This window comes from Homo sapiens, chromosome 13 (assembly GCF_000001405.40).
Source record: "Homo sapiens chromosome 13, GRCh38.p14 Primary Assembly".
Lineage (NCBI taxonomy): Eukaryota > Metazoa > Chordata > Mammalia > Primates > Hominidae > Homo > Homo sapiens.
Window position 1 is genome coordinate 28,204,993 of NC_000013.11, and position 12,660 is coordinate 28,217,652.

General features: G+C 38.0%; 1 protein-coding gene and 1 pseudogene across 13 annotated transcripts in view; both read left to right on the forward strand.

Moving 5' to 3' along the window:
• Positions 1-12,660, forward strand: part of PAN3 (poly(A) specific ribonuclease subunit PAN3) — a 157,143-nt gene that overhangs the window by 66,800 nt on the left and 77,683 nt on the right. The gene's annotated exons all lie outside the window — the stretch shown is intronic.
• On the forward strand, positions 9,463-11,085 carry EEF1A1P3 (eukaryotic translation elongation factor 1 alpha 1 pseudogene 3; annotated as a pseudogene).

Sequence of the window (12,660 nt, forward strand, 5' to 3'; positions counted from 1 at the left end):
GCATTTTTTGTAAGAGGTATTTAATTATAAGAATGCTTACATTAAAATCTCTTGGCCTATAAATTCTCATGTGAGTTCTAGTTGCTTGTTACTGCTTCCTTTAAGATCTCGGGGGCGGTGGGTGGTTGGAAACTCACTAGATTTACTTCCGTCTTTACTCACTGGGTTTTGGTATTACTTCAGGTGATTTGTAATCTCTAGGCCACAGGAAATGGGATAATGTAGGCTTTTGATGCAATGGATTGGACTTTGTAAAGGTGAAGCTTCAAGCTATCTACTTAGGGTGCCTGGGGACTTTGAAGAGTTATAGAACTATGATGCAGCTGCAGTGGCCTTTCTGTAAATGTACTACTTTCTGTTCACACATCTCACCCTGGACCTCCTCTTCTCTCTAGCTGATACTCGAAATCTTTAATGTTCTCAGACCTACTCAACCCTTACTCTATCACTTTAGAGTAATGACCTTGTGTTCTTCATGGAAGGGAGAAAAAAGGTCATTAAGAATTCATTGTGGTTCTGTCTACTGTGACAAAGTTTAAAAATTTTAGAAAGAATAAAGTGTGGGCTGGGTGTGATAACTCATTCTTGTAATCCCAGCACTTTGGGAGGCTGAGGCGGGAGGATTCACTTGAGCCCAGGAGTTCGAGACCAGCCTGGGCAACATAGTGAGACCCCTGTCTCTACAAAAGAAAAAATAATAATTAGCTGGGTGTGGTGACATGTGCTTGTAGTCTCAGCTATTCAGGAGGCAGAGGCAAGAGAATCCCATGAGTTCGAGGCTGCAGTGAGCTGTGATTGCACTGTTGCACTCCAGTCTGCGTGACAGAGCAAGACCCTCTTAAAAAACGAAAACAAAAAAACTGTTTCTTAAAAAAAAAAAAAAAAGAAAAGAAATGCCTCATGTATCAGCTTTCTACCTATCTATATTTTCATTAATATTCTTATTTTTCCTCCTGTCTCAGACAAATAGGTGTTTGTTATATACTGAAGGCCATCTTGATTTTTTTCCAGCAACTTATTCCTTCATGTGTCTCTTCAATATTACTCTTATTTCTCTATGTTGGTTACATCCTCTTAACTTATAAGCATTCCATGTTTAAATCTTTTCTGATACTTTATGAACCCCACAACAAAGCATGCTACATGAGGAAAAGGTTCTTTGGTCAGTACATTTGGAAAACTCTGCGATACAATTTGGGAAATGGTTCCTACTTATTATGGTGACTACTTTTTCACCTTTTGTTCATCCCTTAATTCCCAATATTTTCCCTTTCCTTTTCACCATTCTATTGAAACTGTTTTTGATAAGATCGTCTAACTGACTTTTTTTTTTTTTTTTTTTTTTTTGAGACAGAGTTTCGCACTGATTCACCCAGGCTGGAGTGCAGTGGTGCGATCTCGGCTTACTATAGTGTCTGCCTCCCAGGTTCAAGCAATTCTCCTATCTCAGCCTCCCAAGTAGCTGGGACTACAGGCTGCACCACCACACCCGGCTAATTTTGTATATTTAGTAGATATAGGGTTTTGCCATGTTGTCCAGGCTGGTCTCGAACTCCTGACCTCAGGTGATCCAGCTGCCTCAGCCACCCAAAGTACTGGGATTACAGGCGTGAGCCACCACACGCGGCCCCTAACTGACAAAATCAACGGCATTCCTCTTACTTGCCCTCTGCTACAATTGACAGTTGACCATTCTTCTTTTTTTGAAACTTTTATTTTCTTAGCTCTTAGATTGTTATTAGTGGGTTTTTTTTTTTTGTAAGACTTCTTGGCCTTTGTACTGCCCTCAAGAACTCTGCCAAGCTCTGTCATTGACTGTTTTTTCTTTCACTCTTTCTTCATAGTGCTCTTCTGTAATCTCACATGTCTTCAATACTTCAGCTCCTTCCTAGTCACATTTGACTCCTGGATACTTTTTTCCCCTCCTAGTCCTCTGCACTCATTCTATTATATTTCTGGTTTCTTCTGAACATCTTCATCTCCATGACATAGGACTTAAAACTCAACCTGTCTAAAATGAACACCAAGTTAGGGATCCTCCCCCTCTCACAGAGGCAGGGCGGGTTCCTGTAAAAAATAAAAATAAATGAATAAAAAATAAAATGAACGCTGTATATTTTTCTTCAAACCTGTTTTTCATTTACACACATCTGTAGACACTTATTCACAACTATATGCCACCATATATCTTGGTTATTGATATCATTTGGTGTCTAACTTGTGAGCTCTTTTTGACCCCTCACTTCCTTACCTGCCATATCCTTCAGCAACTAAGATCTGTTGCTGGTTTGAAATTATTTTTACTCTGTTAGTTATAATGTAGATCCACCTTTAATTCTTGCTTGGATTATTATATTGTGGTGTCTTAGCTGGTTTCCTGCTTCTAGTCTTCTTTTTCAAACAACTACCTGATTGTCTGATCTTGCCTCTCATCTTTGTCATTGGGGGAAAAAAGGTCAAAATCCCTTATGAAGGCATCCAAGCTGCTCCTTGCTCTTGTTCCTATTGAACTATTTGTGGTACCATGTAGCTACCATGAAGAGTTCCATGTTCTTGCTTCTCCTTTGGCTATTCTTTTTGAACATTCACCTTGGTTGATGTACCCTTCCTTCTGTCTTGATTTAGCAAACTTGTCTTTTAAGATTGAATTCATACATACGGTCTTATGGCCTAATTAAACAGCATTAGATGTTTGCTCACATTGTCCTAGCACTTACCAGATTCTAATTATTCATTTATAGAACTTATCACATAAACTAATATCAATATACTGATCATGGCACATTGTAGATAATATATGTCTTTTGATACATGGATGTTCTGAGTTCTTGAGAGTGTGGAATTGGGTTCAGGATACATTGTATACCTGTGAAATGTCAGCCTGTGAACTTGTAGAACACAGTGTCTATGTTTTATGTCTTTCTTCCTCACAGCGCCTAGTACACTGCCTTGCACAGTGTCTTTTATATATTAGGTATTCAAATAATTAAATGGATGGACCTGGATTATTGATTAGCTGGATGAATATTTGACCTAATGTGTTCCTGAAATTTAATGCTTTACATATTTTTGTAAATTTTCCCTTGGTACAGTTTCATTAAATAAAATATCAACGTGGAAAATATTTGAAAATCTTAATATATGTTAAAATTTATGATTAATATGGTAGGATTCTTTGTTAGAAAGAATACATCTAAGTATTATAAATTACTGTGGAATATGACAAATAGGTTTTACTGTTATATGGCTATGGATAGAAGATATGCATAAGTAGCAATAATCGTAGCTGTGTAAAGTAGTTCTTGCCTCTTTGGAATGTTGTGATAGTCTCACTTTCCTGTACTACTTATTCACTGACCTAAGTAAACATTTTTCCTCCTTTTAGGGACAGTGATAGAATAAACTAGGTGGTATGCCCTGTGATTATGAATTATTACTGTTATTGGAGCACTTTTACATGTAAATAACTTCAGATTCTTTTAAGTACAGGTTCAGTATACCTTATCCAAGATACTTGAGACTATAAGTGTTTCAGATTTTTTTTTTGGGGGGTATGTTTGAATCCATTTAGTGGTTGAGCATCTTAAACCTGAGAAGACCTGGCCCGAAATACTGCATTGAACATTGACTTTGAGCATCATGTTTGAGCTCAAAAAGTTTCAGATTTTGGAGCATTTCAGATTTCAGATTTTCTGATTAGGGATACCTAGTTTGTAGCAGATGCACACATCCGGTTTTATTTTTAAGTGTCTTCTATTCTTTGGATACAGATTATCTTTTTATATGCATTGATTTTTTTGGTCTGAATTTAAATGTACAATCCATGTGAATTCTTACGATAATTCCATTCAGCGATGATATGCAAATGAAAAAGGGAATGGTGTAAGTGGTTTTATGATTTAGAAATCTTGAACTTTCTTAGAAGTTTTTTGTAAAAATTATACAGTGGTCCTTCTGTATTCTGTGGGATTGGTTCTAGCAACAACCTCCTCACCACCCGCAGATACCAAAATACTGGGGTGCTTAAGGCATAATATTTGCATATAACCTATGTGCATCCTCCAGAATAGCTATTACAATGTAAATGTTTTGTAAATAGTTGCTATACTGTATTGTTTTTGTTTGTATTTTTAAAATTGTTGTTGGTTTTTTTTACCCCAAATATTTTTTATCTGTGGTTGGTGGAATCTGCAGATTCAGAACCCATGAATACGGAGTGCTGACTGTATATACTATTGAAAAAAATCAGATACTATAGAAGAGTACGAAGAAGAAGGCAAAAATGTCCCTAGCCAGGTTACCACCCACAGATAACTTGTCTGATATATTTTAGTGACCATCTTTAGCATGTTTTTACACACCTGCGTGCATACGCATTCCCCCATTCCCTCTCAGGCATAAGGAAACTATTTTACATAAATAGCAATTTAGTTTCATTGCTGTTCTCTAGCTTATCTTTTATTTTTACTGAATCAGTAGTATAGGTGTCTCTTTTCATGTTTAATAAAAATATATCAACTCATAATTTTTAATAGTTATACATTATGATATGTTCCACAGTCCACATGACCAAATCCCTACTGGTAGATATTTTACTTATTTCTTTTTTTAAAATACTATAATAAAAAAGTGCTGTGCTAACCTTATCTACTTGTGTCATTTTTCTTCTTAGCTTTAATTCCTAGATGTGAGTTTGCTAGATCAAGGGCATGCTTATTCTTTGCTTATTCTTCTCCCGTCTCCTCCCGTTTTTCTCCTTCCTGCCTGCCTGCCTGCCTGCCTTTCTTTTTCTTTTCCCCTTCTCCTTCCCTTTTTCCTTTCTCCTTTTACCACTCTGGAGTGCGGTGGCATGATCACAGCTCACTGTAGCCTTGATCTTCTGGGCTCAAGTCATCCTCCTATTTCAGCCTCCAGAGTAGCTGGGACTACAGGTGTGTGCTATCATGCATGGCTAATTGTTTTTAATTTTTAGTAGAGATGGGGGTCTTGCTTTGTTGCCCAGGCTGGTCTTGAACTCCTGAGCTCAAGTGATCCTCCACCCTTGGCCTCCTAAAGTAGTAGAATGACAAGTGTGAGCCACTGCACGGCCTTATTTTTCGTTTTGATAATATTATCAAACTGTTCTCATAAAAGGTACACCAGGAGATTGTTAGAGATGTTTATAGTATTATCCATTTCTGGCAAACTTTGTAAAGGATGAGCTAACAACTGTCTTTGGAAATTTACATGTCTATAATGTCAAGCTGTTATGTACAGAGAATTGCTTTATGCTGAGATCATAAAAATTTTTGTTTTCCTCCATTCTAATGTAAAGCTTGTTACTAATTGATCTTCATTTGCCGGGTTCCAACATACACATGCTACTTTCCTCTTAAGATTGTCAAGTTATAAATAGGAGAACTTTTATTTAGAAGAATGCTAATATGAATCTTTTGGAAATACTAGTAATTAGCTTTCTTCTGCTGTCTCCACCAATTTTATCTGATTTAGAAAATTATATTTCCTTTATTGAGATGCTTAAATCGGAGGGCTTAGTTTGCTTCAGAAAGTTTATAAACTATATTATTAGACTAATTTTACAATAGTCATTGTATTTAGGTGTCACTTTTAACTTTTTTTTTTAATTAAACTTTGCAGGTTTTAAATAGGTCAGTTTCTGACTAACCCAGAAGTTGAGTATATTTTGATAATACATTTTAAATTGGCCATATTTGTATGTGCTTGAAATAAGTGGAAATAACAATTCATTAAATAACAACAACAAAAAAAACCTTATGTGAACCTGGGGATTCTTGTTACCATCTGACTACTCCTTTCCATCTCCCTCTGTTCCTCTTTATCCTGTGTTGCTTGTTAACACTGGAGACTAGTAAAATTAGGTCTGAATTGGGCTGCTCTTTAGGTCCATGGATCTCATCTTTATTTTTTTTGAGACAGGGTCTTGCTCTGTCATCCAGGCTGGAGGGTACTGGTGTAGAGATGGCTCACTGCAGCCTTCACCTCCTGGGCTCAAGCAGTTCTCCTGAATAGCTGGGACCACAGGTGCGTACCACCACACCTGGCTAATTTAAAAAAATTTTTTTTTTTTTGTAGAGAGAGTGTCTCTTCTTGTTGCCCAGGCTGATCTCAGACTCTTGGCCTTGAGCAGTCCTCCCACCTTGGCCTACCAAAGTTGTAGGATTACAGGTGTGAGCGGCCATGCCTGGCTGGGTCTCATCTTTTTATGTCTTTTTAGATCACTTTAACAAGGCAAAAAAAATTCCTCCACCCTGTCTTTCTTTCTCATTATTAGTACCCTCTCTTCTGCTTTTCCAGATAATTCACTGCTCATTGCTGTTGCCTAGTCACTCCCAGTGGCATGGATAGAAATAATTGTATTGGAGAAATATTTATGTAAAATAGACTGTGACTTGGTGCTTCAAAGATGTGGGCATTATCAAAAGGACAGTTAGTTGAACTGTGCGTGTGACATGATTTATCTTTTTAGGAAAGAGATTGTAAGGAAAGCACAACAAAACTTGAAAAACCGACTTTATAAGAAAGTAGATTGAATTGCTCACAAGTTATTTGAAATGGTATTTGTAGATCGCCTCTCTCCTAGTGGGTGTTTAATCTAACCAAAAAGAGTTGGCTAAACTTTATATATTGATAAAGTCAAAAAATTCCTTAATATTTTCAAAACATTACCACTAAATTTGTCTTCTGGCCAAGGTGAAAGAACAGAGATTAGACTTACCTCTCTTCAGAAACAGCTAAAAAACTGAACAAAAACATATGTAACAGCAGTTTTCAAGACATGAGATATCAGACAGTGAAGGACAGTGATCCCTGAGAGATGGAAAACAAATGAGGTGAACCTTGTGATTAACCCAGCTTACTACCTTGGGAGAGTTTCCCAACCTTGTATAGAAAGGGGGACATCAGGTGGAGCCTGCTGATCTGTCTGAATTGAGGAGACCAAACTGGAAGTCCACAGTGGCTAAGGTGGCAATACTATACAAGAAAACATACTGAAGAAGAGAGAGCTCACATACAGAGAGAACTCTGGCAATTTACCAAGGGATCCCTCTTGAATCTTTAGCTGATGTGAATTCAGGATGTGAATGAAGAGGCTACCAGAGCTGGAAAAAGCAGTTGCCAAGAAGATCACAGTCAACAATTCTCAGATCTATACATGGCCAGGAGTAGTTCCTGTTCTCACTGGCCAACGTGGAAAACTTCGTAACTCGTGAAGCACCAAGTAAGGCTAATTGGAAGCCATTTCCCTCAGTAGTGGGGCCAAATTAGCCTTAGAATAAATTCTTCCCTGGTTCCTCCTGACAAAACTTAAAAGCAAGACCTGGTAGAATGAAACTAATTTGTAAGCAGTTTAGCTACAACAGAGAGCAAAGGTCAAGAAGATTTATAGGAATATGAAAATATCCAGCACCCAGCAGATAAAAGTCACATTATTTACCATGTAATTAAAAGTACCAGACAGGCAAAGGAGGAGGAAAGTAAGACCCATAAAGAAAAGAAAATGTAATCATTCAAAACTGATCCAGAAATAGTTACGTGAAAACATCAACAATAATTATTATAACTGTATTTCATATGTTGAGGAAGCTTAGAGGAAAGATTAAACATGTTAGTACAGGAGTGAAACATATATACATAGATAAGAAATCCAAATCAGACTTTGAAAGTTGAAAGCTATAGTGTCTGAAATGAATAATATGTTTGATGGGATTAATGGCAATAGACATTGAAGAACAGTTTAGTGAACTTGAAGGCATAGCAATAGAAACTGCCCCAGAAAACCACACGCAGAGAAAATGTGAGCCATGGGATAACATCAGGTGACCTAATATCCTTATAATTGGAGTTCCTGATGGGGCTGATGGGATGTGCAGAAAAAGTATTTTAAGAAATAATGGGCAACATTTTCCAAACTTGATGAAGCTGTAAACCCACAGACTCAAGGTGTCCAGTGAACCACAGGCAAAATAAACATGAAGAAAATTACATCAAGGCACATCAAAGAAGCAGCCATACCAAAAAACAAAACAAAACCATTTTTGAGGAATAACAATACCATTGGCTTTCCGTATCCATGGGTTCTGCATTCTTGGATTCAACCAATCATGGACCGGGGGAAGAAAAAAAACCCAAACACCAAAAAAATCATACTACAATAAAAATAATACAAATAAAGAATGCCATATAACATTTATATTTCATTAGGTATAAGTAATCTAGAGATGATTTAAGGTATACAGGAGTATGCACCTATATGCATAGACTACATACAACTACTAGGCATTTAATATGAGGGACTTAATTACCTGTGGATTTTGGTATCTGCAGAGGAGCTGGAGGATACTGAAAAACCACCGTAGTGATAGCTGATTTCTCACTGGAAATAATACAAATTGTAGACAGTATAACAGTATCTTTAAAATACAGGAAGGAAAAAAAAGTGTCACCCTAGAATTCCATACTTGGAAAAAATATCCTGCAAAAATGCAGTCAAATTGAGTGCATTTATGCACTCAGAAACTGGTAAAATTCAAACGAGGTGGGCAGTTTAGCTAAAATTATTGCACCAGTGTTTACTGTTTTGAAACGTACTATGGTTATGTAAGATGTTACCTGCCATCAAAGAAGGTAAAAGGTACCATTTCTTGTGAGTCTCACATTATGTCAAAAGAAATGTTTTTGAAAAAACAGCAAAAAAAAAAAAAAAAAAGGTTGGGGGATACTTCAGACTATTTGGTGAACTCTCACAACTTCGTAATAGAAAATTTAAAAATGCATTAAAAGTAGTCAAAAAATGTGGACACTTCAAAGAAGATATAAAATGGCAAATAAGTTATTTGGGAAATGCTAATTAAAACCACAATGAGATACCACTACACACCTATTAGAATGTCTAAAATGAAAAAGACCAACCAAAGTATGTATTCCTGAGTACATAGAGCAACTTGATCTCTTATACAGTGCTGGTGGATGTAGTAAAATAGTACAGCTAGGCTGGAGTATCGCTTGAGTGGCTGTAGTGAGCAATGATCTCTCCAGTGCACTCCAGCCTGGGTGACAAAGCAATACCCTGTCTCCAAAAGAAAAAAAAATAAAAAATCACAACTACTTTGGAAAACAGTTTACTAACTTAAAAAGGTTATATATACGTACGTATTATATGCCCAAATCATTCACTGCTACGTTTTTAACCAAGAATAATGAAATGTGTATTTGTTTACAAATGAAACGTGTATTTGTGTACAAAGACTTGTGTACAAATCTTCACAGCAGCTTTATTTGTAATAGCCAAAACTTGGAAACAATCTAAATATCTAATGGATGAAAGGATAAACAAATTATAGTATATTGATAATGTCGAATACTAATAAGCAATACAAATGAAGTATTGATAGGTGCAGTGAAGTGGATCAATCTTCATGCTGAGTGAAAGAACCCAATCAACTTTTTTGCAACGAGTTTGCCACCAGAACACAGGTGTCATGAAAACTACCCCTAACAGCCAAAATGGGAAGAGACTTTTATCAACATTGTCTTCATTGGACACATAGATTCAAGGCAAGTCCACCACTACTGGCCATCTGATCTACAAATGTGGTGGAATCAACAAAAGAATCATTGAAAAATTGGAAAAGGAGGCTGCTGAGATGGGAAAGGGCTCCTTCAAGTATTCCTGGGTCTTGGATAAACTGAAAGCTGAGCATGAATGTGGTCTCACTATTGATATCTCCCTGTAGAAACTTGAGACCAACAAGTACTACATGACTTAGCATTGATGCCCCAGGACACAGAGACTTCATCAAAAACATGATTACTGGGACATCTCAGGCTGACTGTGCTGTACTGATTATTGCTGCTGGTGTTGGTGAAATTGAAGCTAGTAGCTCCAAGAATGGGCAGGCTGGCGACCATGCCCTTCTGGCTTACACACTGGGTGTGAAACAACTAATTGTTGGTGTTAACAAAATGGATTCCACTGAGCCAACTTACAGCCAGAAGAGATATGAGGAAATCATTAAGGAAGTCAGCACTTATATTAATAAAATTGGCTACAATCCTGACACAGTAGCATTTGTGCCATTTGCTGGTTGGAATTGTGACAACATGCTGGAGCCAAGTGCTAACATGCCTTGGTTCAAGGGATGGAAAGTCACCCATAAAGATGGCAGCACCAGTGGAACCACACTGCTTGAGGCTCTGGACTGCATCCTCCCACTAGCTTGTCCAACTGACAAGTCCTTGCACCAGCCTCTCCAGGGTGTCTACAAAATTGGTGGTATTGGTACTGTGTCTGTGGACCGAGTGGAGACTGGTGTTCTCAAACCCGTTATGGTGGTCACCTTTGCTCCAGTCAACGTTACAACTGAAGTCTATTGAAATGCACCATGGAGCTTTGAGTGAAGCTCTTCTTGGAGACATTATGGGCTTCAATGTTATGAATGTGTCTGTCAAAGATGTTCGTTGGGGGAGTGTTGCTGTTGACAGCAAAAATGACCCACGAATGAAGGCAGTTGGCCTCACTGCTCAGTGATTATTCTGAACCATTCAGGCTAAATCAGTGCTGTCTATGCCCTTGTACTGAATTGCCACACAGCCCATGTTGCATCCAGGTTTGCTGAGCTGAAGGTAAAGATTTATTGCCATTTTGGTAATAAGCTGGAAGATGGCCCTAAATTCTTGAAGTCTGGTGATGCCGCCATTGTTGATATAGTTCCTGGCAAGCCCATGTGTGCTGAGAGCTTCTCAGACCATCCTCTTCTGAGTTGTTTTGCTGTTGGTGATGTGAGACAGACAGTTGCTGTGGGTGTCATCAAAGCAGTGGACAAGAAGGCTGCTGGAGCTGGCAAGGTCACCAGGTTTGCCCAGAAATCTCAGAAGGCTAAATGAATATTATCCCTAATACCTGCCACTCTAGTCTTAATCAGTGGTGGAAGAATGGTCTCAGGACTGTTAGTTTCAGTTGGCCATTTAAGTTAATAGTAAAAGACTGGTTAAAGATAACAATGCATCTTAAAACCTTCAGAAGGAAAGGAGAATGTTTTGTGAACTACTTCATTTTTGTTTTTTTTCTTTTTTCTTTTGCATGTGGTAGTTTTACTAGTTTTTTAAATCAGTACGTTTTAATGGAAACAACTTGACCGAAATTCTGTCGCAGAATTTTGAGACCCATTAAAACAAAGTTTAGTGAGAAAAAAAAAAAAGCCAGGTAAAAAATACATATATGTGTATGACCCATTTATGTGAAATTTTTAAAAATGCAGACTAATTCATAGTGACAGAAAGTCTCAGTGGTTTCCTGGAGACTTGGGGGCAGAGAGCAGAGAGGGGTGGAAAGGAGAGAGGGGTTTATAAGAGGCCTGTGCAGACTTTAGTATGATGTTTATGGTCATTATATTGATTTGGGTAATGGTTTCCAGGTTGTATATCTGTGTCAAGAGTTACCAAAGTTTTAAGTATGTGCAGTGTATTACATGTTAATTGTATCTTAAATAAAGTTGTTAACAAAAAGTCACCAGGTTAGGTTTTCATTCAGAGGATGGAAAGATTACTGATACCAATTTACAGAGCCCTTAAGATAGCTAAAGCAGGCCGAGCTCTTTAAAGAGCTGTCCAATAGTTTTATGAGTTTACTATGTGATTAAAATAACCCTGACCAGTATTCAGGAATATTAGTTTCTCATTCATCCCATCATTGTATGATAACAATTTTTTTCTTATAGGCCTTTTTGGGCCATATATGCAATGAAATGTTACATATCTTACGTTCCGTTATCATTCAACAGAAACTTCTTGTCTTTCCATCTAATTAAAAAAAAAAAATTAGGCCAGGTGTGGTGGCTCACGCCTGTAATCCCAGCACTTTGGGAGGCCAAGGTGGGCAGATCTCTTGAGGTCAGGAGTTCGAGACCAGCCCAGCCAACATGGTGAAACCCCATCTCCACTAAAAACAAAAATTAGCCGGGTGCGGTGGCGGGCGCCTGTAATCCCAGCTACTCTGGAGGCTGAGGCAGGAGAATCACTTGAACCCGGGGGGCAGAAGTTGCAGTGAGCCGAGATCACGCCACTGTACTCCAGCCTGGGTGACAGAGTAAAACTCTGTCTCAAAAAAAAAAAAAATGATAATAATTACAACAACATTTAAGCTAACGGTCAGGATTCTTGATTTATTATATTTGGGTCTAGAAGGTAGCAGTAGGGATCATTTTTGAAAGTTGGGGGATGATGTCATTTTGGAGAACTCACTATATAAGAAGCACTTGGTTGTTTTGGACATGAAAATTGGGGGGCAGGCTGGGCACAGTGGCTCACGCCTGTAATCTCAGCACTTTGGGAGGCTGAGGTGGGCAGATCACTTGAGGCCAGGAGTTTGAGACCAACTTGGCCAACATGATGAAACATTGCCTCTACCAAAAATATAAAAATTAGCCAGGCTTGGTGACACACACCTGTAATCCCTGCTACTAGGGTGACTGAGGCAGGACAATCACTTGAACCTGCGAGGCGGAAGTTGCAGTGAGTGAAGGTTGTGCCACTGCACTCCAGCCTGGCAACAGAGTGAGATTCTGTCTCAAAAAACAAAAAAAAAACAAAAAAAAAATTGTGGGGTAAATTTGAGTGTATGAGAATCTTAGACTATTGAAT